Source organism: Homo sapiens, chromosome 20, assembly GCF_000001405.40.
Source record: "Homo sapiens chromosome 20, GRCh38.p14 Primary Assembly".
Taxonomy (NCBI): Eukaryota; Metazoa; Chordata; class Mammalia; order Primates; family Hominidae; genus Homo; species Homo sapiens.
The window spans coordinates 61,413,136-61,439,675 of record NC_000020.11 but is presented as its reverse complement, the minus strand read 5'-3'; the positions used below and the strand labels follow the sequence as shown (position 1 = coordinate 61,439,675).

Below are 26,540 nucleotides of genomic sequence, written 5' to 3'. Positions count from 1 at the left end.
TCCTGCAGAAGAGATGTTCCCGCCTTCCACAGCTGGGTCACAGGAGCCTTCTGGTTTCCACAGAGGACTCTTGGAATGCTCCCTGTGGGGACATCTGCTCTCAGAACCTAGTCCCTATGCCATCAGAAGGCTGAACCATGTCCAGTCTTTGCTGCCAGCATATCTCCAAGCTGGTGACCAGCGTCCACTACTAGCCACATACATGTGCCATCTTGCATGCCCTGGCTGGTCATGGCTTGGGATGATGCCAGCCTTAACCCCACTGAGTGCAGGTGCATGAGAAACTCCAAGTCCGGACAGGCCAGCTGAGCCCAGCCAACCCTCAGAGCCACGGAGCAGCTGTTTGACGCCTCTGAGCTTTGAGGGGTTTGTTTTGTCACACTGTACAACCGAAATGCACACTGCAGTACAACCGAAACGCACACTGCAGCACAACCAAAACGCACACCGCAACACCCTTCTTGGGCTCTCGCTTTTAAGACAGGCCTGAATCTTCAAATAACACAACTTCAAGCACCAAGATTGTTTTGACCATTTTGACAAAAAATCAAACTATTTTTCAGTTAAAAGACAAGTCTTTTAAAAGTTAAAAATATATTCAGTCAGAAGAGTCAACACCGAAGGCAGATGCTAGGCTTGGGGGGAAAAATGAAAGAGGCGTTGAAAAGCTTTACCCAATGTGTTTTCATTGTGTAAATAAGAATGAAATTTTATGATCTTCATGTTTTTAGGTAAGTTAAGGTTTTTGGTTTTTTTTTTTTAGCTAATTTTTACTATTTGTCTGGGGGCATTGAAAATGAATTGAGCTTCCTTCCACTGATTTTGGGAATCTTATTGATTTAATAACATGGCAGGATTTACTTTTGCCAAGGTTCTCTTTCTGGACACTGCTGGGATGTTTTCTGTGGGTAGTTAGTGGACTTTAGCACCCTACTAACACAGGATGGCAAAGTTTTGACCAATATTTTTTTTGGAAGTACAGAATATGCCTTTTCATATGAAATGTTTTCAGAGCAGCTTCCTTCTGCCCTTATCCACTCAAATAAAGTTCTGACATGCAAATAAATTTTGCATTAGCAGAGATATATGACATCTACAGTTAAGGACTATGGCCAACCAATTATACCCACATGCCATTTTCTACTTTTACAAACCCCTGATAAAAGAGAAAAGTCTTGAAGACAGCATTTCACACATAAAATATTTCTTTTATAGCAAAACGTGTCCAACTGATTTACGAGGTCCTCTCAAGGAGAACAAAACACACACTATAAAACTGAAACTCACAGAAAGATTTCCCCAGCTTCTTTAGAAAAAACACACTCAAATTGCACGGGGTATAGATTTTCATAGTATATAATGTGAATTCTTCATGGAAGCTGTGCTTTCATCCTGGTGAGTTTATTTATTTCTATGGTAGTATAATTTTTTTTAAAAAACAATACATTTTCTCAAGATACTTGTCCTTGAATTAAAGGCATCACTGGAAAAATTTGACCCATAAGTCAGGGAAATGCAAGGTGCATTTTGCCTAATTTGGGACACCTGAATCAGAATTGTAGCAGGGTTCAGGGTGGCAGACGATAGCCCACTGGGCAAACCTGGCATGCACTGTTTGTGAAAATAAAACGTTGTTGGAGTCTGGACGGGTCATTAAGTGCTGTCCGCGGCTGTCTTCCTGCTGAAGTGGTGGAGCTGAGTGGTTCTGATGGACATCCGGCCCATGAAGCTGAAAAGCCTACTGGCCCTTAGTAGAAAACGTTTCCCGATTCCTGGATGGATGGAAAAGGACCAGTCTTTCTGGCATCATCAGAATGTCTTCTGTTTTCCAGGGGCACATCTGGAGGCCCCATGGAATTTTCCTAACCGTCGTGTGGAGTGTGTCAACAAAACGGGACCGTCTGCATCAGGGCAGTCATGAAAGGGTCCCCAGCGACCTAAGTCCTTTTAAGTGGAGTACAATGGACCCAGATTCCATGAGAGAAGCCGCCATGCACAGTGGCACTTGGGAGGAAAAGAAAAACCCTCTCGTTTCCTTATTACCCGAACACACTGACGATCCATTTGTAAAAGACGGCCCAGCCAGCATCTCCCTCCCTGAGAGGGCGGTGTGTGCTGCTGAAACTCTGATTACAACTGCTCTTAGGATGAAGTGACTGGAGCCCAGATACCTTATTTAGCAATCAGTGCTCGGCACAAGGACTTGCTGTGCCAACGAAAAGGAAGCGAGGCATTTTGGCTAGTCACCGCGTTTTTGCTGCGTCACAGGGAGACAGAAGATGGGCTGCTATTTCGTCGGCTAAATGCTATCATTTTAAGCACCGTTCCAAAGAAAACAGGGATCTTGCCAGAGGAAAATAACATATACCATAAAGGAAAAAGAAATGTGCATCAAGGCAAATAAACAGCTCTCTACTAAGGGCCTAGGATCTTGCTAGACGAGTCATTTCTCTGGTTGAAAAGCAGTTGAGAAAGGCAAGACAAGGGGGGCGGGGGCCCAGCAGGGCACCTCTGAGCCCTTCCTGCTGCTCTTCAAAGACAGACGCATTTTCCTTTCTACGGTCTCCTTGCAAGTCTTCTGTAGGCCCTGCCACCTTCAGGCTGACTGACTGCCTCCTTCAAATATCAGCATTTGGTGAGTTCCCACCATGTCCCAGGCCCTGCGCTGGGTGCTAGGACGCAGGAGGGGGCAAAACAGGCCAGGCCTTGCCTTTCTGAGCTTGCTGCAGGCAGAGCAGACAAGAGGCCTTTGTCCTTGGGCCCTGGTATGGAGCATCTAAAAACCCTTGGAATTTCCTGAGAGATTGGAGTGTCTTTGTTATGCTAATGAAGTGACTCACTGTTGGCCCCTGGGTGGTTTTAGGATGGGGAGGCTGGTCGCCAGAAAGACCAGGCACAGGACCAGAGAGTTGGGGACTTGGAGCTAGCCTGACCTCCAGATGGGGGTGGGGGGGTGTTGGAGACTGAGTTCAATCGTGAGGCCAATGTGTTAATTAATCATATCTACATAACAAAACACAATAAAAATCCTGGACACTGAAGCTCAGCAGAGCTTTGTGCTGGTGGACAGATGGATGTGCTGGAAGGAGACCCCTGCTGACCCCTGCTGACTCCATGACAGAGGGATGGAAATTCTGCCCCTCCCAGACCTCACCCTATGCGTTCTGTTTCCTTTATAATGAAAGCACAATTAGAGGTAACTGAGTTCTGTGAGTCATTCCAGTGAGTTATCCATTCTGAGCATGTTGTGGGAACTCCAGAATTTGTAGCCAAGGTCCCCCGGGACTTGTGGCTTGCATCTGAAGTGGGGGTAGTCTTTTGGAGACTTTTGTCCTTAACCTGTGGGGTCTGAGCTGCCTCTGCTAGACAGTGTCAGAAGTGAATTGCAGGATACCCAGTTGGTGTCTGGCCAGTGGGGTTGAAATGGAATCCATGCAGTTGGGGGCGAAGGTGCAAGAGTGATCATGATGGTGCTTAAGAGAGGAGCAAGGTGAGCCCAAGGTGGGGGTTGAAGCCGAGACTAGGAGGTCCTGACCTAGTCGAGGAGGGCAGGGCCAGCTCCACTGGGAAGTGACAGCTGACCTGGGATCTGGAGCATGAGCAGGGCTAGCCAGGTTAGGAAAGGGCACTCCAGGCAGCAGGAAGAGCATGTGCAAAGGTCCTGTGGTGGGGCTGGGAGAAGGCAAGTGTGGCCAGACTGGAGAAGGCGAGGGGAGGTGGGGCAGGGCCAGGCCACACTGGCCTGGAAGGTCACAGAACACATGTGGCCAGAGTCCTGGAGCCCCTCCCCAGCACATGGGCCAACAGGATGCTCCCCACACCCACATGAGGCAGCTGGTGTCTTTACCCCCACTTTAAAACCCTGACTTCTGCGTCTCCAGGAAGGGTACTGGGGAGTCGACACCCTCATGTCTGTGAGCTGACTGCAGGACGTCTCCTGTCCAGGTGCTGGCACCTCATCTAACATTTGAAGGTAAAAGCAGCTCTGGCCTCCTGCAGGTGCAAGGACCCGGGAGCCGCTCTGTGGGCTGGGCTCAACCCAGGTGTTGGCCCAGGCTCGGCCCAGGCTGGCCATTCCGGATGATTCTCCTACTTCCTCCTCGGAGTCCTCAAGTATCACTGTCCCCTTGCACTCCCTGTCTTTGAATCTTACTTTCCATCCTCCACCTCCTCCGGCCGCAGTGCACCAAGCTGGAAGCAGCACCCTGCAGCCGGGCTGGACCACTCTGGAGAGCAGTGAGCCCAGCAGAGCCCCCCTAGGGATCTTCAGCCCCAGCTATGAGTCTCAGAAGCCATGCCCCAGGGCTGTGGTTTCACAGGTGCAGGTCCAACCCTCCTTTCTCTGCCTTGTGGCTGCCTGTCCTGGGGCAGGTTACGTTGCCCCTGGGAGCCTCTGTTTTCTGTAAAATGGTCCCAGTAATGGCATGCAAACTCCTGAGCGCTGTAAGGATGGACAGAGACAGCATGGCGCAGTCAGTCCCTGTTACTACGGAACCCATTGTCATGAATTCTGCTGCTTTGCAGGCTCAGAAGAAAAGCCACGTCTGCCTACACAATCTCACAATCCGGCTTCAGCAAAGCATGAGTTAATTCAACTTCATACTCGTGAACGTGAAGCGGGGGTTGGAAGGAATGAAGGCTGCAGGACACCCATGTACCAAGAAAAAGAAAGACAAATTGGTTGTTTTATCTACTTTACATCATGATGGAGTCCTAAAAAGTAAACAAATTTACACAGTTATTAATAAGACATATTAAAAGAAAGGAGTGAGAATAAGTTGTTGTTTTTTTTAATTGCAGGGGCCCCATGAAGGCAGGCAGCCCAGGGAGGAATGACTGGACGGTGACATTGTGCAGGGGGTCTGGAAGTTGCCAGCGCAGGGGTTAGCAGCTGCAGCCTGGCCTGGTCCTGTCTGCCTGGCTGTCAAACCCAGAAGACCGTGGTTTCTGGTGGCCTCTGTGTGACAGCGGAGGAGGTGGGGCGAGGCCTGGAAGTGAAGCATCTCGTGAGCCACTTAAGTGTTTATGAAGCTCGCTAATGTGCTTAAATGAACGAGAAGCAGGTACTTGCTCCCAGGACCAGAGCCACCAAAGCAATTTCCTCTGCAGCCCCTCATACTTCGCACACTGGAAGCTTGCATTCTTTCCCAGAGGACAGCCGGATTACAGCACCGCCTCTAATGCAACCCGATCTGGTTTCTTTGAGCGCCGCGGTGAACGTGCAATCTATCTCATAAATGCATCGCAGTGTTCCACAAATCACCCACGTTCATCCCTTGAGACGTCTTTAACTCGGGGCTTAGAGTTGCAAATGAATTCTCCTATGGATCTATTATTCCATCAAATAGCGGAGAGAGGGGACTAGCTTGTGCAGAGCCTTCATAGAGCTGGGCTAAATTCGATTATGCAAAGTCTAACGAGCACCATTCAGCAAAACCATGGTGGGTGTGAGCTGCAGGCCAGCCCCTCCACTGGGCCATTATCCAGGGGTAAACACCACTCGTGGGTTAGTTCCACGAGTTACTGGCTGATTTGACCTGTGATACTCCAAGGTGGAAGTAACCAAATAATATGTATCATGAGCCCCAAGAACGAAGCCAGTGGAGAGTGGTACATGCTAGAGGGTAACGCCTGGCCCTTTGCAGGACAGCACGTCAGCCATGCGCCATGGGACGATGGTGGTGGCTGGGACACAGGAGGCCACGGCAGGAAATGGGCAGGTGGGTGGGTCTATGTAAGCTGGCTTTAGACTTCAATCCACAAGCATTTGCAGCTCAACTACTCAGCGTCTTATCTTATTTAATCCTTTCAGCAATAAACACTCTTTTCACATGTAGTAAGGTTAAGGAGTCTACATCACACCCTTTATCATTATTAATAAAGGGACACACCCTCCAGGGATCCTAGGGAACCTCCTACCCACCCTGTGGTCACTCTAGGGAAAGGAAAGCTCTCAGGGACCGACGGGAGCCTGGGCACATGCGCCACCACTCTCTCCTTTATCCCCTCTAGCCCGGCTTGCTGGCTCTCACTTTCTTTTGTGCACTAGAACTCACGTACAAGTTGCACACCCAAACCCTTGCATGCTGCATTTCAGAGTCAACTTCAGTGATTTTTGAGAGTGATTTTGACAATCCCAGTCAAAATTCTAGCAGGTTTTTTTTTTTTACATGACAAGTGGATTCTAAAATTCATAGGAAAATGCAAATGACCTAGAAGAGCCAAAGCAATTTTGGAAGGAGTAAAGTCGAATGGCTGACGCTACCAGATTTCAAGATTCACTTGAAACGCACAGGAATCAAGACAGGGTGGTGTCGACAGAAGGAAGGCGTCAGAGCAGGGTGACAGGAGGCAGGGCCACACACAGACGGCTGATTGATACCCGACAAAACCGCCGAGGTAATTTCACAGGGAAAGGAACTCTTTTGAACAAATGGTGCACCAACAATTGGATAACCATACGGAAAAAATTTAAAAAACAGAAGAACATTGACCCTTCACGCACATCAAACATAAATTAACTCAGAATCCATCATAGGCTGGGTGTTGTGGCTCATGCCTTTAATCCTAGCACTTTGGGAGGCCAAGGCAGGCGGATCACCTGAGGTCAGGAGTTTGAGACCAGCCTGGCCAACATGGTAAAACCCCATCTCTACTGAAAATACAAAAATTAGCCAGGCGTGGTGGCACGTGCCTGTAATCCCAGGTACCCGGGAGGCTGAGGCAGGAGAATTGCTGGAACCCGGGAGGCAGAGGCTGCAGTGATCCGAGATCACACCATTGCACTCTAGCCTGGGCAACAGAGCAAGACTCTGTCTCCAAAAAAAAAAAAAAAAAAAAAATCATGGATTTAAATGTAGAACTAGAAAGGGTACAGAAGAAAACATAGGAGAAAACATGAGGTGACTTTGAGGTAGGAAAAGTTTTCCTATAGATAGAACATGGGAAGTATGAACCACAAAAGGAAAAACTTGATATGCTGGTTTCTATCCAAGTTATAACTTTTGCTCTTTGAAAACACTCCCAAGAAACAAACTACAGAATGGCAAATATGTATATTGAAATATATATATATACACACACATACATATACATACATACACACATGCACTTTCAATATGCTGTGTATATCTGGCAAAAATTATATCTAGAATATATAAACAAACGTTTACAACCCAACAAGAAGAAGATATACAATTGAATAATGGTTAAATGATGGAAACAGACACTCCACAAAAGAAGATGCATGAGATGATCAAGGAGAACGTGAAAATATGCCTAATATTGTCAGTATCCAGGGAAGTGAAAATTAAACTACAGCGAGATTAGAATGAAGCCCCACTCACTAGAATGGCCATAATTTAAAGAACTGACCTCACTGAGTGTGGCTTAGGATGTGGAGGAACTGGAGCCACACACACTGTTTGTGAGAATGTAAAATGGTTCAACCACTTTGGAAGGCTACTGAGCAACTTCTTAAAAAGTTAAACACTTCTCTACTATATAGCCTAGCTACTCCCTTCATAGCATTTACCCCAGGTAGGTGGAACCATAAAGGACTCATATAAGAATGTGGACAGCAGCTTTATTCACAGTACAAAAACAAAGAAACAGCTCAGAGTGCACATCAGAAGGGGAACGGATACAGAGAATGTGTGCTCCATAACTGGAGTGCTGCTTGGCATTAGAAGGGGCACACACGCACAATGACGCGGACAGAGCTCAAGTCATCAAGCTGACATCCATGTATCGGTGCAAGAAGCCGGCACAAAAAAGTATATTCCCTACTACCCCATTTACATAAAACTGCAGAAGATGCCAGCTGGTCTTAATGATGGGTTCCATAAGCCGGTTGCCAGGGGATGGGGGAGGGGAGGAGAGACTGTCCAAGGGGCAAAGTGAACTTTTGGGAGGAATGGAAATGCCCTACCTTGATTATGGTGGTGGTTTCATGTTTTCATATGTCAAAATTCATGAAAGTGTACACTTAAAACCTTGATTAAAAAGAGTAACTTTGGCCAGGCATGGCTGTTCACTCCTATAGTCCCAACATTTTAGGAGACCAAGGCAGGTGGATCACTTGAGTCCAGGAGTTTGAGACCAGCCTGGGCAACATGGTGAAACCCTGTCTCTACAAAAAATACAAAAATTACCCAGGCGTGGTGGCATGCACTCGTAGTACCAGCTACTCAGGAGGCTGAGGTGGGAGGATCACTTGAAACTGGGAGGTCGAGGCTGCAGTGAGCCATGATTGCAAAACTACACTCCAGCCTGGGCAACATAGCAAGACCCTGTCTCAAAAAAAAAAAAAAAAAACCAACAAAAAAAAGAGAGTAATTTTGGCCAAGCAAGATTTTCTCCTACGCTGGAACTTCAGTAGCCAAGATTTGACAAATAAAACTTCCTTGCATAGTAATTTAAGATTTGAAATAGTGGGGAGAGGCAGGGTTTTGTCTTGTTTGCTTTTTAGAAGATAACTATTATGATAAGTTTTAAAGTTAAAATCCACCTGATCCTCTACCCACGTGCTTCCCCTGGAGTGGGAATTCCTTGGGTGGATCTGTGCGTGCTGCGCTGTGTTTCTTTGCATACACAGAGCCAGCATGCTACAGCCAAGCAAAGAAACACACAGCAACACAGTCTCTGGATCGAGGCTGATGGCAGCATGTGGCCCCTCGGGAAGGAGGCGTCTGGGGCATTTTGGAGACAGGGAAATGCTTTTCAATTCTTGCCGATGACACCCTGTTCCACAGGAACCCTGAAGCCTGGGGGCTGCAGGCACCAATGGACACACAGGCTCCTTTCTCTGTTTCTTGGCCAGTAGGAAGTAAAGAATACACTTTTAGCCAAATGAGAGCTGAAGTGTATGGGAGGAGTATTATAAATGATATGCAGGCTACCAAATAAAATTCAATTTTCGGTTAATGTGAAGGTGTAATGCGTGTGGAGCAGCTGCTTTGCATATCACACAAGACAGCAGGTAATAAGGAGGGAAGCAGGACTGGCGACTGATCTGTCACCGGCGAGGCTGGGATTGTTTCCTTCCTTTACCTCCTCTAATCGCACCATTGCAGTGTTGATTCAGAACACGGCGGCCCATGAAAAATGTCACCGTTCTGTCGATGGTGTGGATCTGCTGGCAATTCCAGCAAGCAGTGGCTGCACATAAAGGGTGATAAGGCACTATATCCTGCCACGCTCAGCAGGTTTCCCATTTCCTCCTGCAATTACACATCAAACTGTTTTGGCTTCACAAGCTTCTGCACTATAAATGGCCTGGAGGCAGAAGGCCGCCTGGCACACTGATGAGCCGGGCGTCAAAGCTGAGTGCAGACTCAGGTGTGGGGGAGGTTGCTGAAAAAACATATCGCCCCCTTCTCTGCAAGCGCACACCCACTCTGCAGGGCCCTGAAGGCATGCCCTAAAAATCATTCTTTCATTATCTCTGCTTAGTCCAATTAACAGAGGGTTAAGGGAAACATTACTGACTGTTGTTGCAAGAGAGATGGCACCAAAGGCACTGGAGAGCTTTATGTCTTTGCCTCTCTGTTGTGGTCCACAGATAAGTATAGGGGCATCCCCTGGGAGCTTGCTGGAAATTCAGGGTGTCCAGATCCATGGGAAATCTGCTGACTCAGAATCTCTGCGGCTGGGCCAAGGAATCTGTTTTAAGGGCATCTCCAGGTGAGAAGCATGGCTCCAAGCCATGCTCGGCACACAAATATGCCTGAAATTTTGACGCCTTTCTCAGGGAATTCCTTACCTGCAGATCCAGCCAGAGGAAGGCTACAGATGTAGCGCTTTTTGAAAATCCTACCCACCCATCCACCCATCTATCCATTCACTCATCCATCCACCCAACCATCTACCTATCCATCTTTCCACCCACCCATCCATCCATCCATCCATCCATCCATCCACACACCTATCCATCCATCCATCTATTCATGCACCCATCCACCCATCTATCCACCCATCCATCCACCCATCTATCCACCCATCCATCCACCCACCCATCCATCCAGATACCCACCCATCTATCCACCCACACATCCACCCACCCACCAATCCATCCATCTATCCACCCACCCACCCATCTGTCCACCTATCCATCCACCCATCCATCCATCCACTCACACACCCACCCATCTACCTATCCATTTATTCAACACACACCAGGCATTAATTTGCTGCCCTGTACTGGAGATACAGAGATGAGAGACCTCACTGGGTGTTGCGCTCTCTATAGTATCTGGCATACGATTTGCTATAAACTGGAACCTAATCACTAGGCTAGGAAAAAGAGCCTGATGGCCAGGGCATGTGTAGGCTCTGGAGGCTGCCTGCTGAATGTGGGATGCTGCCTCTGCCTTTCACCAGCTGCATGGATTTAGGTACGTTGAATAAATTTTCGAAGTTTCAAATGTGTCTGATCTGTGAGATGGATATAAAGGTGGTCCCTACCTCAAGGGTTGGTTATAAAGATAAAATGACTTAATTTTTACTGAGCACTTAGAACAGTATCTGAGAAAAGTGAGCATTTAAATATAAGCTGTCATTATATAAGCTTACCGTCATAGGTAAGCTATCGTAACTTATGACGGTAACATAAGTTACCGTCATCTTCGTTAACATCTTTCTATAGTCTAGAAAGTAGGTTCTGGACTAATACAATATAGTTAGATAACTAAGGCAAACTAATACAATACAATTACTAACCTCTATAGAAGGGGCAGAGGGAGACATATGCACTGTGAACATGGGAGAAATGGCTCTCAGTCTGTGCACAATTTTCCCTGGAACATAGCTGGAAAGCTCGCCTGCTCTCGCTCACTCTCTCTCACTATCTCTCTCTCCCCATCGACTTAGTTAAAATCTATATTAAAGTATACATATACATATGATAAAATCATGATGCATGGCCAGATGGATTTTCAAAGTGACAAACACACCATGTTACCAGCATCCAGATCGAGAAGAGAACATCACATGGACCACAGAAGTCCTGGACGCCCATCCCGGCACCTTCCACTCTGCCTCCTATCATCAGCACACCTGTGGTCCGCGTGGTAAAGGGCAGTGGTTTGTTCTTATTGAACACTGCATAGTATTCCATGCTAGGAGTATGAATTGCCCACAGTGTCTTTCTCCTATTCTACTCCTTGTCCAATTGATGAATCTACCACCCATTAAGCCAGATGCTTTCTGGCTTGGGGACATAACAAATGATGTTGCCGTAAACATTCTTGTGTTTGTCTTCTGGTGCACACACATCTGTTAGGGAGACATCCACGAGTAGAATCTCTGTATCCCTGTTAGGGAGACATCCATGAGTAGAATTTCTGGGGCATAGGATATGCATATATTCAGCTTTAGAAGCAATGATTCTCCCAAAAGACAGACTAGTTCCCACACCACCTGCTGTATGTCAGGATTCCAGGTGCTGCATGTTTCTGTCGACACTTGGTAGTGTCTGATTTTTGCCTTTAGATAGGCTTTGAATGAACTCACCGTCCCAAGTTAAGAATCCCAGAAGCAGAAGGAATTCCTACCTGGCCCCACTTTTCAGCAGCTGCTTCCTGCTGGGGGTCTCTGTCTATGACTCGGAAAGGGTGCGACCTAGGAGTGAGCAAGGTCTGGGGGAATACCATGCACCATCTTCATTCACTCCTCAGTAGTTCTCTTTTCTCTGGGATTTTGACTTCTCCAGCTGGTTTGGTTGTTTTCTGATGCTATCAAAGTCTTTCCCTCTCTTTCTCCTGCCTTCCTCCTTCTCTCCCCGCCTCTGTCCTATCTAATACAGCATTTGATTCTCGGTGACTTGGTTGGATACCAGCCACTCTACCATATGGTAACTGGAGGTCCTTGGAGCTAGGTATGCACTGCCTGCCTGCAGTGAGGGAAGGGTGGGGAGACAACTGCTTGCACAGAGACAAATAATGCGTGGGTAGACATTTGCCTGTCACGAAATTGGGGGTCTGGAGCTGGCATTCCAGGCAGAAGACAGAGTATAGGCTGCACACCCCAGAAGTTCCAAGTAGAGAATCCTGCTCAGGAAACTGGAAGGAGCAGCTTGGAAATGTGCAAAATAATATGTCAGGAGGTAGACAGTGCAGGGATGAAAGATGATGCTAGATAGGCTGGAGCTGCCAGGTGGTCCAAAAAAAGAAAAAAAAAGCCTCTCAGTTGGGAAACAGTTTTGATGAATGCAGGATGGCACACAGATCCAGAATCAGGGAAGACGACGTTCTGATTTCATGCCACAGCCTCTAAAAACCCCTGCAGAAAAATTGCTAATGCCTCTGGCCTTTGGCAGTGCCTGTGCTGGGAGAAGAGACACATCATCTTCCACCTTGGCCCACGGAGAAATGGGCCAGGGGTTCCCAATCAGGCAGGCTGTGCAAAAGAGACAGTAAAGGTCAGAGCAGGGTCAGCTCCCTGCACACACAGGGCACAGGTCCTCTCTGCAACGCTGGGAATGTGGAACCGTGAGGAAGGGCTCAACGGTCTCTGCAAATGCGGCAGGAAGCTGTGCAACTGGGTTCAAGGTTGTCTTAATTATTTGTTCCAAAGATGTCAGCCTGTGATGTATTTACTTTCCTGATTTTTCTCCTCCCTAGTTAGTCTTGGAGCTGCTGTTGTACATACAACTCTCACTTCAGTCATAAATGAGTGACATGAACATTACTAAAGAGAAACATCACTTGCCTGGAACACAGTACCCAATCACAAAAAATTACTAACAATTAGCCCAGGACTATACAGCTGGTTTAACACAATAGGCCATAAGCCAAGATTTTTATCTAGAAGAACATCTTCATTTTGAAATCCTCGACATCTGAACACACTTCTGCATATACCCTACTCCCAAGACAAGGTCTATGAAGAAAGCATCCATGCTTCTGCCTCGATTCCCTGCAGGAATTTGCGGGGCCAAAGCCCTCCCTCCACCTTCGCTGGTGTCAACAGCTCAGGTCACTTTGATAAGAAGGCAATGCTGCAATCTCAAAAAATTGGGAATGGCCAAGCCTGCACTGCACAACCATATTCTGATGCAGAATTTCCGTGACAATCATAATTGGGAGCTATGAGTCACTCACACATACAGCGGAAAGGCAGGTGACGGGGAAGGGATTAGCAAACAGGCAGACCGTCTTCTGCAGTTGCTGAAGCTCAGAACTGAGCAAGTCACCCAGAGTCTACCTACAGCCCTCCACACAGGACACCCCTATCCCTTGCCACACACCCTCCACCCACATGATGTCCTTGCTGTACTGGAGCCACCCGAATGCAGTGCCTATGAGTTAGACACGGCATTTTTCAGGTGTGAGCATTATTCATTATAGGTACCTGCATCTTCCTATATTTCCCATCCTTAATATATTAAGCCAGAGTGTTTTTCCAAGCAAAATTTTTATCAGCTAGATTAAAGCACCTGGCTGCGTCAAAAAATGAGATGATTCCTTTAACTCTCAGATGAAAAAGAAACAAAACAACTAGAAACCCCCATTGAATACATCACATACTCTTCTGGCCTCTTCTATTTCTTTTATTGCTTTTTTCATAAAATTAATACCTCTTAATATATTTTTTAACTGCAATGAGTTAGTAAGGAGTCAAATCTCCCCGTGGTCTCACCAGAGAGGTCAGCCTTGGTAACTATTTGTTGCATGTGAACTGCCCTGACTTAAGAAACACAAGATCACATGCCTCAGTTTTCAGATGATCTGAGGACATCAGCACCTCCTGCAATTGGCCATCCTGCCCTGGGCGGGGCCCTCGAGAACGTCCTGCAATTGGCCATTCTGCCCTGGGCGGGGCCTTTGAGAATGTACTGCAATTGGCCATCCTGCCCTGGGCGGGGCCTTTGAGAATGTCCTGCAATTGGCCATCCTGCCCTGGGCGGGGCCCTCGAGAACGTCCTGCAATTGGCCATTCTGCCCTGGGCGGGGCCTTTGAGAATGTCCTGCAATTGGCCATCCTGCCCTGGGCAGGGCCCTCGAGAATGTCCTGTCCAGGCTGCGCCGTCACCCGGGTTTCTGTGCGCTGCCGCCCTGTTTTCCCTGGGCTCTGCCCCTCCTGCGGGATGTGCTCTGTGCCTTATCTCACGGATAATCACAGCAGCGTCTGCCCTGCCCACTGTCCTTCTCCTAGGCTCGACCTCAGAGCCCACGTCCTGCTCAGGGGTCCAGGCTGGAGACATGGGGTTTCCTTCACCTCCCCAGCCCCCCTTTCAGACAGGAGCCAGTCCCAGCTGTCCCACCCTGAAGGCCCGCCCCTCCACCGCTGCCTCTGTCCTGGCTCTCCCTTGGCCGGCTCGCTTCCACACTGAACGTCCTAGTGTCGAGGGTGGCTCCAGGTTCAGGGTGCCACTGCTCTCCGGTCCTGGCCGCCTCCCTCCCTGCTCCTGTTCCCGGAGCCTTCTGTGGTGCCCGCCCTGCTCAGGGTGAGGGTTGGCCATGCCTCTGGGCCGGGCTGGACCTAGCTCTGCAGGCAGCTCTGCACCATGGGGCCCACGGTCCTGAGCTGTGATTCAAGGCGCTCGCGGAGCCACACAGGCGGTCTTGGGGATCCTTCACCAGAGCAGTGACCTGCTGCTCCTGGTCCACCTATGCCTGGCACAGAGCTGGGGCTCAGCAACCTTTCCTGGACGAGCCAGCACCGGCTAGGAGGCTGTAGGCTCCTCCTCTGCGTGAGGCCCACAAAGCTGCACGTGGTGGGTCCAGTTTTTTAAATTTGGCTCCGGATGGACCACGCGGCACAGGCTTATGCCTTTCCCATCTTCAAGAGCATGTGGGGCACTGTGCTGTCACAGCCAGAAGTGGATTCCAAGCCTTGCTCTGTGGGGGGCACTGGATGGGAAACAGGCGGGGCAAATGCCCACAGCACAGGGATGACTGAGGCCTGTGTCAGGATGACACTCTCCCTAAACAATGGGAGTCAGGGAGACACGGTCAAAAGAGAGGGACTGAAGCTGAAATCTGGAGGGTGATGAGCTGGAGCTGGCCAGAGTGAAAACAGGGGAAGAGTGGGTGACAGGGGACATCCCTGGCCTAGGAGTGGCCTCTATAGAGACCCAGGAGGAGACAAGGGCCATGGGAGGACCACATCAGTGGCTGCAGTGGAGGGTCTACAGGGCCTGTGCGTCTGTGAATATGTGTGTGCTGTGTGTGGACACATGTATGTGTGTGCTATGTGTGGATATGCATATATACATGTGTGCTGTATGGGGATACATGTGTATAAGGGTGTGCTGTGTGTGGATACATGTGTGCTGTGTGTGGATATGTGTGTGGATACATGTTTGTGGATATGTGTGTGGATATGAGTGTGTTTGGATACATGTGTGTTGTATGTGGATGTGTGTGGATATGAGTGTGTTTGGATACATGTGTGTTGTATGTGGATGTGTGTGGATATATGTGTGTGGATACATGTGGATATGTGTATATACATGTGTGCTGTGTGTGGATGCGTGTGGATACATGTGTGCTATGTGTGGATACATATGTGTGGATATGTGTGTATACATGTGTGCTGTGTGTGGATACATGTGTGCTATGTGTGTATATGTGTGTATACGTGTGTATACGTGTGTGCTGTGTGTGGATGTGTATGTATATATGAGTGTGTGGATATGAGAGTGTGTGGATACTGTGTGTGTGAATATATGTGTGCTGTGTGCACATGCCCATGCACACGTGTTCATTTGTAGGTGTGGGCATGTGCCTGTGTACAGGAGCATGTGCACAGCCTGCATGTGTGCGCACAGGGAGTGACAAGGTATGAGGCTGAGGATGCCGCCAGAGGCCAGGCGAGGAAAGGCTTTAGAAGCCACTGAAGAAGCTTGGCCTGATTGCGACGGGACCATCCACTTAGAACTGCTTGCTCGGATGCTGAGAGAGGCAAGACGCCTTTCATTAGGACCTGAGGAAGTGTTATTAATGATGCAGAAATCAAAGGATTTAAGTGTGTAGATCTCAAAATGAAAAAAAAATGACGAACGTACCTGCCAAGTAAAAGAAGGGACGCAATACAGTCATGAACAAAAAAAATCCCAAGCCATTGCTGCTATAAATGCAATTTCTCAAAACGCCATCCAAAAGTCAATGCTAAGTTCATCCGAGTGCGTTTGCAATATTCAACCACACCAGAACTAAAGAAATGGAGATAGGGGTCTCTACCATATTGAGTCTCTGTTTTGGACTCTGGGATAGTTTTGCAATGTGTCAATTCAGCTAGGATGAAAGACATGTCTTGCCCATACAGGTCTGGGTCAGGGTTGGCAATGAGGGGGACATGATATTTAGAAAGAAACATGAGGCAGTGGCCTCTGCATCTGTGAGGTGAGTGCACACCCGGGGCACTGGAACAGCTCAGGACACCTGCCTGCCCTGCGGGCTCACCAGTACCGCCCACAGCTCCTCCACCTCCTGCCAGCTTCACTTGCAGGTCATCACTGATGTGTGCAAGGCAGATGCTGGGTCTGTCCCATCCTCGTGGGTCTGGGGGTCCTTGCTTCCCCCATTGTGCTTCCAGCATCCCTCCCCAGCTCTCTGCCCTGCCCCGAGGTACACCACGTGCAGCAGGGCCACAGCATCCAGGCATTTCTCTACCACGTCCACTCAGCCATCCTGTTTGCGACTTTTCTCTGACCTTCTGACCTCTCCAAATCTTACCTCCTCAGCTTCTCCCACACCGTGTAAGGTTTTAAGCCCAATAAAAAATCCCTTATCGCATGGGTTTTTTCCCAGATGGAATCCTGATTGACACCTGACACCTGACAAGAGGGCGGGGCTTCCCAGCAGCAGGAGAAGCACTGAGGCTGCTGAGCCCAGGAAGGGGAATCAGGTGATTCTCCCAAGACACATGACACACCCACATGCCCAGGAAGCTCTGAGCAAGCAGGTGCAAGGTGGCCAAGAACAGGAACTCTCAGAAGCCTCCTGAGGCCAGATGAGGCCCCTTCTGCAGCTGAGGTGCTCAGCAATTGCATCTTGTCCTAATTTAGAATTCGGAGCCAGATCCGTAAGTTCTCCTGCATGGTTGCGCTCTGAACTCTGTGCTCATGTACACCACGGAGAGAAGAGAATTTCTGGCATGCACCCTTAGTATAAAAATATTCATATGTTTATAAATGTATTTACTGCTGCTCTGAACCCTCCACTGGTAAATAAATACTTAAAGAAGACACTTGGGGAGATTTGGTTTTTTTTTTTTTTTTTTTTTTTTTTTTTTTTTTTTTTTTTTTGAGACGGAGTTTTGCTCTTATTGCCCAGGCTGGAGTGCAATAGCACGATCTCGGCTCACTGCAACCTCTGCCACCCGGGTTCAAGCGATTCTCCTGCTTCAGCCCCCCGAGTAGCTGGGATTACAGGCATGCACTACCACGCCTGGCTAATTTTGTATTTTTAGTAGAGATTAGGTTTCTCCATGTTAGTCAGGGGTCATGAACTCCCGACCTCAGGTGATCCACCCACCTCGGCCTCCCAAAGTGCTGGGATTACAGGCGTGAGCCACCGTGCCCAGTGAGATTTGTCTTTAATGACAATGCAGTGGAATGCATAGATATACGTTCAAAAAGTCATCTTGGTAACTTCACACGTTTGGGGCTGACATCTTCCAGATGTGATCGGATCATAAGTTTTTGTTTGGTTTTGAGCCTCTGACTGTGGCTGGTGATAGCCGCGGCCTGTGAGGAATGTGTGTCAGCCCCACACTGCTCAAGGCTTGCGTGGTGAGGAAGGTCTCCAGGCTGCGGTTTCCTTGCAGGGCTGTGTTAAAGCTGCTTGGTTTAGTCCATGAGCATGGGTTGAGTTAGAACTCGATACTATTCATAAATCCACTTACCCTAGTGCACACCCAGTGGGCCTCCATCAGCCAGCGCTGGACAAATGATGGGGGCCACTGCTTTCTGCACATGCCCTGCCCCTCACATCCCGGCACCAGAACCCCGGCAGGGGGAGAAGACTCACATCCACCTGTGTCATAAATGTCAAGGAAGCACAGTTCCTCCTTTTTTTTTGAAGTATAACATCTCCAGAGAAAACATGCACATCTTAAGTGTAGAGCTGCACATGGATTTTCACAAGGGGGCTCTGTGCAAGCTGCACCCCAGAAGGCCCCTTGATTCCGTTCAGCCATGAAACACCCTCCATCCTGAAACGCAACCTCCACCCTGGCTTTGGATAGCGGAGATGAGTTTGACTGTTTTGCATTTCCTATCAATGAAAGCATCCAGAAAGCTTCCTTTTCTGCCTAACTTCTTTTGATCAAAATTACGTCTATGCACTTCACGTGAGTCCCTTTCGGTAGCTTCCATTCTGTCCAGGATTATGACATCTCCTCCTGTTATGGAATGGAATAAAGACCCCTCAGTGCTTTTCTGAAATTGAAGTGTTGTGCACATGGAGGAAAGAATCTACTCTGAGTGAGGGACTCTTACAAATGCACGCTGCCATGCAGCCACCAGCCAGCCAAGGGGAAGACATCGGCCCCAGGAGCCTACCTTGTGTCCCCTCCCAGCCAGGGTCCCCACGGAAAAGGGCTGTAAGGGCTCCCATTGCAAGGACCAGCTGCCCCTCCCTGTCTTTAGCTCCATAGAAATGAGTAACATATGGAAGCTGCCACTCATATTCCACAGCACGTCTGAGACCCATCCACATGGCTGGCAGGCCTTGCCGTCACTGTCCTATCATCCCCCATGGAACATGCCACACTCTGTTTGCCAGTGCACTGTGTGTGGATACCTGGGTCACCCCTGTCCTATCGTCCCCCGTGGGACATGCCACACTCCATTTACCAGTGCACTGTGCGTGGACACCTGGGCCACCCCTGTCCTATCATCCCCCGTGGGACATGCCACACTCTGTTCACCAGTGCTCTGTGCATGGGCACCTGGGTCACTCCTGACCTTATTCCCCTGTGGGACATGCCACACCCTATTCACTAGTGCACTGTGCATGGGCACCTGGCTCACTCCCAACTTTGGACTGTTAGGAGGAGTGCTGCTATGAACCTTCCAGAGCACGGCTTTGGCTGCACCTGGGCATGGGTTTCTGTTAGGTCTTGTGAGGAAGAGAGTTGCTGGATCCCTGGAAATACACACGCTCAGCTTTACTGGACACTGCCACATGGTTTCCCAGAATGGCTGGGCCTGCTTATTTTGTTTTCAGTGGCGACAAAGTCACAGTCAATAGAAATTGTGGTGAGATCTTCCCACCCCTGGGGACCCTGTGGGGAGGGGAGCACTGCACTTGGAAGCCTCTGGCTGGAGATGGCATCTTTCCTTCCTGCACCCTTTCATTCCATGGCCTTTAGTGGCAAGATCAATGCCTTCCAGAGCAAGGAGCACCCCTGAGTGGTCCCTCCTCCAGTTCTTTCAGCCCTTTCCAGGCCCCGGTGCTGACCCGCTCCCTCTCCCTGCGTTTCCCCGCACAGCAGGAGGAGCTGCCTGCAGAGGGAGGCTTGCTCTCGGGGCAGAGGATTCCTGCAGCTGCTCACACTCCTGAGGGACAGTGGCTGGAGACCACTTGTAAGAGCCCAGATTTGCAGTCACTCTCCAGGTGAGTGCCTAGTGCCCCTTCGCAGGCCTGGCATCATCAGGGGGTCCCTTCACCTCTCTATGCTCTTGGTACAACTCCCACTAAGAGGGCTGTGGCTGGAATTCAATGAGAATGCACAGGCTTTGCAAATAGTGCATTCAACAGACACCTACTGTGTGCTGGGTGCTTTTCATGAAGCTGCCCTCAGGATGATCACCGACTGAATGATGCCAATGTTTGTATAATTTCAATTCTGATGATGGCTGTGAGGGAGCACACATGTGTACTTAGGAGAACACAGCAGGGGGATGTGCCAGCCACGGGGCTGTCCAGATGGCCTCTCCGGGGTGGAAGGCTTAAGCTGAGGCCTGAGGGTTAGATGGAATTGGCCAGACACAGGGAATGGGGTGTATACTCAGCAGAAGGGACAGCATGGGCCATGCCTGGAGCGGGGTGGCCTTGGCTTTGGGGGAAGAGAGAGGCAACTAGGACTGCAGAAGAGGGGAGGGTGGGGAGGGAGCTGGGGAGGCAGACAGGGCCAGAACCTTCCTGGTGGAAACTCCGCTGTGGCTGGCCTGGAAGCCAAACGATCCCCTCTCCTAGCTCTGTGCACCAGCCGACTGGAAAGCTACCCCAGGATGTAGAGTTTGAAATCCCTCTTTCATCCTAATGTGTCTTTTAGAACTTCCAAGGAAGGGAGTTTTTACATCTCTCAGGTTTCATCTCTGAGGCACCACGAACTTGCCTAAGCTGTAAGGATTAGCAGTGGCAGAAAGATCCTTATAGTCCCCAGAAACAGCCGTGATGGGAGGGGATGTATTTGTCGGGGTACGATAGAAACTGATGAGCAGAGACAAGAACCAAAAGCACCGCCCTGGGCAAAGCGGCCGCCTCTGCTCTCAGCTGCACCTGCTGCGGGGAACGAGTGATCTCGGGCTCAGGACACGTCTGCAGTGAGCCCCACCCCCATAACCAGCAGTCCCACCAAACCCTGCGAGGCCTTTCTCCATGGACAAAACACTGACCCACTGTCATGGTTGAACAGTGGCCCCCAGAAAGATATGTACACCTGGACCCGGTGTGTGCAATCTTATCTGGAAAAAACGTCTTTGCTGAGGCTAACCTGGATGAGGGTAGGTCCTAAATCCAATGACAAGAGAAGTCACAGACACACAGAAAAAGTGGTATGAGGGCCAAGGCAGAGATTGGAGTGATGTGGCCACAAGCCAAGGAACATCAAGGGCTGTCTCTGGCAGCCACCAGAAGCCGGGAGAGGGATGCGGGGGTGTGGGGGTGCTGCCATATAATCACAGCTCACTGCAGCCTGGACATCCTGGGCTCAAGCAATCCTCCCTCGGAGCCCCTGAAGGAACCAGCCCTGTCCATACCTCCATCTCAGGCTTCCGGCCTCCAGACCCCTAAAAGAATAAACTGCTGTTGTCTTAAGTTGCCCAACTGACGGCGCTTTGTAACAGCACCCTCCAGGACACTAACTCCTCCACACGCGATTTCACTGGGCTGTAGAGCAAGTGCCATTATCAGCCCATCTGATAGATAGGAAATCAGAGGTTTGGGGAGGAAAACCAGCTCACACAATAACCTCACTTAGTCAAAAAAGTTTGGCCAGGCGCGGTGGCTCAAGCCTGTAATCCCAGCACTTTGGGAGGCTGAGGCGGGCAGATCATGAGGTCAGGAGATCGAGACCATCCTGGCTAACATGGTGAAATCCCGTCTCTACTAAAAAATACAAAAAATTAGCCAGGTGTGGTGGCGGGAGCCTGTAGTCCCAGCTACTCAGGAGGCTGAGGCAGGAGAATGGTGTGAACCCGGGAGGCGGAGCTTGCAGTGAGCCGAGATGGTGCCACTGCAGTCCAGCCTGGGGGACAGAGCGAGACTCTGTCTCAGGGAAAAAAAAAAAAAAAGAAAAAAAAGAAAAAAGTTTGGGCTGAAGCTTGCAAACTCATCTTTCACTTTCATCTGTCTTCTCTGTCTCTTGAGACCAAAGGGCCAGCACAAAGCCAATGGACACCTTTACTTTCTTGATCAGCATTTGCCATTTAATCAGCATTTGCCATTTAACAGCAAAAGAGCAAAGGCAGGTGAGACTTCTGCTTGTGATCTGTCTAAGGAAGCAGGTGGCTTCTCTGTGCCTCGAATGCAGCATCCCCCTAAAACAGAACATGTGCACCCCTCAGAAAACTCAAGGGATGGGAGGCTCCATCTCTTCCAAGTGGGCCTCTGAGCATGAAGGGCCCTGCTGCTCCTGGCCTGGCCCCTTGGCCCAGGACCACAGTACACTGAAGTGCAGTCTCTGGCGGCGCCTTCCAAACTCAGACTTCCTGAGACCTCGCCTGGCCTCGAGGACCTTGTCAGGTCAAGGCTCCTGTGCCCACTTCCCGCCATGTGCACCTGTCTCCAGCCGTAAAATGAGTAATACAAGTCAGGAGAAATGCATGTTCTGAGAGGGAAGCGGCTAGAAATTTGCTCCCCAATCCACGCTGCCAATTTACAGCCCTGCTAGATAGCGATACAGAAATGCATTCCAGCCAGAAACAGGGCCAGGGAGGGATGACAGTTGTTGACAGTAATCAACCCAGAAGGGGAGATGTTCCGATGGCCCGATTCCCAACTCCCAACTCCGGACCCAACGGTGCTGGCTCACGTGGGTGATATTTTTAGAGGAAACAGCTGGCACTCGGGCCCCACACCCCACAGCTGGCTCAAGGTGGAATAGGTGACCTCAGCAGGTTTGCTGGTAACAGGGAGAGGGAGGAGAGAGAGGGGCTAGGGGTGAGGGGAGAGAGAAGAGAGGTAGAGGGAGGGAGAGGGAGATGGAGAAAGACAGAGAGGGAGGAGGGGGAGAGTGGGAGAAAAGAGTGAGAGGGAGGGGGAAGAGAGAGCACGACCAAGAGAGAAAGAGTGAGTCTCTTGGAGACCAGGACTGCATGCCCCCAACAGAGTCCTTTTCTGAAGAAGAAGGAAATAGGCCACAGAATCTGGGTTTTATCCCAAGCACCCACAGTCAGCTCTGCGGGCCACATATTATTCTATTGAGCAGTAATGCCAGGCTGCGCCAGTCTTGCTGTGTTCTGAATTGGTGTTTCCAAACACCTCCCCAGCTCAGCCTCTCCACCACTCCAAGTCATTTCAAACCAGCAATTGGAAGAACCCCCGAGATGTGCAGCCTCTGTGTCTGAGCACAGATATCCACTTCTCCCCAAAGGCAGTGAGTCAGGACAAAACTGTCCGAAGATTTCACCCCCTCAAAAAGATACCCTTCATTAAAATGAATAGAGCTGCAGGCCCTAAAATCACACTTGGTAAGCTATGTCCTCTGTCCCTTTCTGGAGCTGCGGGGAGACTCGCCCAGCGCCATGCTGTCCACAGGGCGTCAAGGGGCGGGCCTGTGCCAAGTGCCTTCAATGGGTCTGGTCTGAGCAGAGCTGGGGTGTGAGTGTCTAATGCACACCGATTTCAAAAGCTTCCTCCAAAATAAAAATTTTAAAACCATGTAAAATACCTGATTAATACTCTGAGTATTTTTACACACTGAAATAATACTGTTCCAGCAATACTAGGTTAAACAAACTCGTTCACGAAACTGATTGCATACCACTTCACACCCATTAGGATGGTCACTATCAAAACACAGAAAATAACAAATATTGGTGAAGATGCAGAGAAACTGGAACCTTGGGAACTGCTGTGGGAATGTAAATTGCGCAGCAGCTGTGAGAAACAATGAGCCAAACATTCACTCGTGAATGAGGGGATAAACAGAATGTGGTCTACCCTATGATGGAATGTTACGCAGCCTTAAAAAGGAAGGAGAAGCTGGGCCCGGTGGCTCACGCCTGTAATCCCAGCACTTTGGGAGGCCGAGGTGGGTGGATCATGAGGTCAGGACTTCGAGACCAGCCTGGCCAACATGGTGAAACCCTGTCTCTACTAAAGATACAAAAATTAGCCAGGTGTGGTAGCACACATCTGTAATCCTAGCTACTAGGAAGGCTGAGGCAGGAGAATTGCTTAAACCCAGGGGGCAGAGGTTGCAGTGAGCTGAGATCGTGCCAGCTTGGGTGACAGAGCAAGACTCTGTTTCGGGGAAAAAAAAAAAAAAAAAGGAAGGAGAGGCCAGGCATGGTGGCTCACGCCTGTAATCCTAGCACTTTAGGAGGCCAAGGCAGGTGGATCATTTGAGGCCAGAAGTTTGAGTCCAACCTGGGCAAAATGGCAAAACCCCGTCTCTACTAAAAATACGACAAGTAGCCAGGCATGGTGGCGCACACCTGTAATCCCAGCTACTCGGGAGGCTAAGACACAAGAATTGCTTGAACCTGGGAGACAGAGGTTTTAGTGAGCTGAGATTGTGCCACTGCACTTCGGCCTGGGTGACAGAGTAAGACTCAGTCTAAAAAAAAAAGAGATTCTGACACTCGCTATAACATGGGTGAACTTTAAGGACATCATGCTAAGTGAAAACAGCTAGATGCAAAAGGACAAATACGGTATGATTCTACCTGTTTGGGGTCCCTAGGGCAGTCACATTCATAGAAATAAACAATAGGATGGTGGGGGCCAGGGGCGGGGGAGAGTGCGGCTGGGAGTGCGTGTTTAATGGGGATGGAGTTTCAGGTTGGAGAGATATAAAAATTCTGGAGATGGACAGTGGCCATGGTTTCCATGACTCTGTGAATGTACCTAATGCCGCTGACTGTACACATAAAAAATGGTTAAAATGGTTAAATTTTGTAAATACATTCACCACAATAAGAATTAGTTTTACTGTTTCTTTTCACTTTTTTTTCAACATGGCCACTAAGACATTTAAAATCCCTCCATGGCTCTACCATGTTTCCACTGGAAGGCAGCACAGGGCTGGGGTACAGGCAGGTTCTTCAACCCGAGCTCCTGCTTCGGCAGGTCTGGGGTAGGGGGGCAGAGAATGGGAGTCCCCAACGTCTCCCAAAGTAATGCCGATGCCACTAGTGTGGGGACCCCACTTGGAGAACCACCACTGAAAAGAATTTGAATACCACTCACTTCTGAGCTGGCAGTTTGACGAATGTGGGCCAAGGGTTCTGAAATTTCCAGCTAGCGGAAAAGCCCAGCCTCCCTCCGGCTGGTTGAATCTTTGGAGTCACCGTGAGGGATGCAGGACATCCATCAGCCTCCTGACCTCCGGTCCATGGAGAGGCACACCCCCACTGCATGCATGGGGCAGCTCCTCCTGGGCACTCACAGGCATCTCACTGAAGAGGACGAGTCCAGACCAGCTGCCACTCTCACCACGGGAGGAGGCAGGCTGGCTCTGCAAGGGACACAGCTCTCGGCTCTGCTAAGGACTTCAGACAATGTCCTCTCCCATCTGGAGGGACTTCCTGAGTGCAGCTCTAATCGGAATTCTGATTCTGAGAGGTGACATTAATTTCTGCCCTAAGGACAGGATGAGCTCTCTGCCAGCAAGCCCCTGTTTATAGCAATGCCCCCCTCCACCACCCCATCACACGGCCGCTTCCTGCTGTGCTTGCAACAATAGTGAGCATTATTAATATTGCCGCACAGAGAACAGTTGAATCATGTGATAATGCCAGGAGTCAGCTTTGCCGGGAGCTGGTCGGCAAGCATTTGTAGCAAGCCAGCTGGAGAGGGCTGGGGTGCCTGCCTGTCTCAGAATGGCCTCCACGCAGGGCTCTCCCTGACTCCACTCTCCTTTCCAAGTCACCTCACACCACAGTGAAAGCAGCAGAGGACTCAGTGGCCCAAATGCAGGGGAGTCCATTCCTCTGATTCCTCTACCAATGACACCCACTTCCTGCAGGCATCAGGGCTGAGCCAGGCATGGGCCATGCCCTGCCCACTCCAGTGAGATGGGTCATTCACGCTGGGAAACCCACGTTACATGGGACATCAAGCCGGCTAACCTGCATTCCCCAAGATTCATATGCTGAGTCTTAACCCCCAGCAGCACAGAACGTGACTGTATTTGCGGTAGCGCCTTTAAGGAGCTAATGGAGGTGAAATGGGGTCACTGGGGTGGCTCCTAATGTAGTGGGACTGATGTCCTCTTAAGGAGAGGAAATTTGGACAGTGACACACACAGAGGCACAACCTTGGGAGGTCACAGGGTGGAGATGGCATCCACAAGCCAAGGAGAGAAGCCTCAGGAGAAACCAGCCCTGCAGACACCGTGGACTTGGACTTCCAGCTGCCAGAATGGTAAGAAAATGAGCCATGTTGAAGCTGCCCAGCCTGTGGGTCTTTGTCACGATGGAGATAGGGAGGCTGCTGAAAAGGCCCTACTAAGTGCTGCCCTTGGGGAATGAGAGCTGGCCACAGGGGATGACCCTGAAGATCTGTGGCCACCAAGAAATTGCTTTTGTAAGTGACTGTCCTTGAGAACCAGTGGGAGAGAAGTTCTGGCAGGAGGGGACTCCATGGTGAATATCTGAGCATCTACTATGTGCAAGGCCCATCCAACCGCCAGCGCCAGGCCATGGCCAGGCAGGAATCACACAATAATGGCGGTAACAGCCATCGCACAGGGCGTGGCAGTTGTGCGGGGGTGTGTTAGGCACAAGACACACAGCATGCCATCCCGTGCAGCAGTCCCACCACCTCCCCAGTTTACAGATGAGGAGACTGAGGCTCAGGGGGGCTTGTTACAGACTCAGGTCACCAGCTAGGCAGTGGTTGACTTGGAAGGTGAGGAGAAGCCCGGCTCCACAACCACTCACGCAGCCTTGGAACAGGGCAAGCTGGTGACACACCCCTCCCCTCCACTAGGGTCCTGACTGCCAGGACAAAAGCCAAAAGCCATGCTGGAAGCTGTGGGAGGTACAAAGAGAAACACAACCAGCTGGAAAGCACTTCCAGGCCAGCGGTGAAAGGCAAGGAGGCCACCCAGGCAGGGAAAGGGAGCATGGGCCAGGGGTGGGGGGCGGGGAAGCTCTGCGAATGGGGAGGGGAGCTTCCAGATCTGAGGCTGGGATGGGA

General features: G+C 49.9%; 1 protein-coding gene and 1 long non-coding RNA gene across 7 annotated transcripts in view, besides 9 other annotated features; one reads left to right on the top strand and one right to left on the bottom strand.

Moving 5' to 3' along the window:
* Positions 1 to 26,540, bottom strand: part of CDH4 (cadherin 4) — a 688,357-nt gene that overhangs the window by 500,942 nt on the left and 160,875 nt on the right. The window lies entirely within an intron of this gene.
* Positions 1,613 to 2,812: an enhancer, noted in NCBI's record as "MED14-independent group 3 enhancer chr20:60011920-60013119 (GRCh37/hg19 assembly coordinates)". NCBI's record gives its function as "activates an origin of replication core promoter dependent on BRD2, BRD4, P300/CBP and CDK7 cofactors, and independent of MED14, by STARR-seq in HCT116 cells {active_cell/tissue: HCT116}" and the evidence as "EXISTENCE:reporter gene assay evidence [ECO:0000049][PMID:35650434]".
* Positions 1,613 to 3,224: a biological region, named in NCBI's record as "MED14-independent group 3 enhancer GRCh37_chr20:60011920-60013119".
* Positions 2,046 to 2,635: an enhancer, noted in NCBI's record as "OCT4-NANOG-H3K27ac-H3K4me1 hESC enhancer chr20:60012097-60012686 (GRCh37/hg19 assembly coordinates)". NCBI's record gives its function as "activates a minimal SCP1, AML or CMV promoter by ChIP-STARR-seq in naive H9 embryonic stem cells {active_cell/tissue: H9 hESC(naive)}" and the evidence as "EXISTENCE:reporter gene assay evidence [ECO:0000049][PMID:30033119]".
* LOC105372703 (uncharacterized) lies at positions 2,251 to 6,612 on the top strand. 4 transcript variants are annotated; one of them, NR_187682.1, is made up of 5 exons: positions 2,251 to 2,635; positions 3,043 to 3,196; positions 3,882 to 3,973; positions 4,525 to 4,720; positions 4,801 to 6,612. It is a non-coding gene; the product is annotated as an uncharacterized LOC105372703 (long non-coding RNA). The 4 variants fall into 4 exon arrangements; NR_187680.1 differs by lacking the exon at positions 3,043 to 3,196; NR_187683.1 differs by lacking the exons at positions 3,043 to 3,196; positions 3,882 to 3,973.
* Positions 2,636 to 3,224: an enhancer, noted in NCBI's record as "OCT4-NANOG-H3K27ac-H3K4me1 hESC enhancer chr20:60011508-60012096 (GRCh37/hg19 assembly coordinates)". NCBI's record gives its function as "activates a minimal SCP1, AML or CMV promoter by ChIP-STARR-seq in naive and primed H9 embryonic stem cells {active_cell/tissue: H9 hESC(naive and primed)}" and the evidence as "EXISTENCE:reporter gene assay evidence [ECO:0000049][PMID:30033119]".
* Positions 4,994 to 5,583: an enhancer, noted in NCBI's record as "H3K27ac-H3K4me1 hESC enhancer chr20:60009149-60009738 (GRCh37/hg19 assembly coordinates)". NCBI's record gives its function as "activates a minimal SCP1, AML or CMV promoter by ChIP-STARR-seq in naive H9 embryonic stem cells {active_cell/tissue: H9 hESC(naive)}" and the evidence as "EXISTENCE:reporter gene assay evidence [ECO:0000049][PMID:30033119]".
* Positions 5,584 to 6,173: an enhancer, noted in NCBI's record as "H3K27ac-H3K4me1 hESC enhancer chr20:60008559-60009148 (GRCh37/hg19 assembly coordinates)". NCBI's record gives its function as "activates a minimal SCP1, AML or CMV promoter by ChIP-STARR-seq in naive H9 embryonic stem cells {active_cell/tissue: H9 hESC(naive)}" and the evidence as "EXISTENCE:reporter gene assay evidence [ECO:0000049][PMID:30033119]".
* Positions 13,417 to 14,308: an enhancer, noted in NCBI's record as "H3K4me1 hESC enhancer chr20:60000424-60001315 (GRCh37/hg19 assembly coordinates)". NCBI's record gives its function as "activates a minimal SCP1, AML or CMV promoter by ChIP-STARR-seq in naive H9 embryonic stem cells {active_cell/tissue: H9 hESC(naive)}" and the evidence as "EXISTENCE:reporter gene assay evidence [ECO:0000049][PMID:30033119]".
* Positions 13,676 to 13,876: a silencer, noted in NCBI's record as "peak4295 fragment used in MPRA reporter construct". NCBI's record gives its function as "represses an SCP1 promoter by STARR-seq MPRAs in K562 erythroleukemia cells {active_cell/tissue: K562}" and the evidence as "EXISTENCE:reporter gene assay evidence [ECO:0000049][PMID:32103011]".
* Positions 14,309 to 15,201: an enhancer, noted in NCBI's record as "H3K4me1 hESC enhancer chr20:59999531-60000423 (GRCh37/hg19 assembly coordinates)". NCBI's record gives its function as "activates a minimal SCP1, AML or CMV promoter by ChIP-STARR-seq in naive H9 embryonic stem cells {active_cell/tissue: H9 hESC(naive)}" and the evidence as "EXISTENCE:reporter gene assay evidence [ECO:0000049][PMID:30033119]".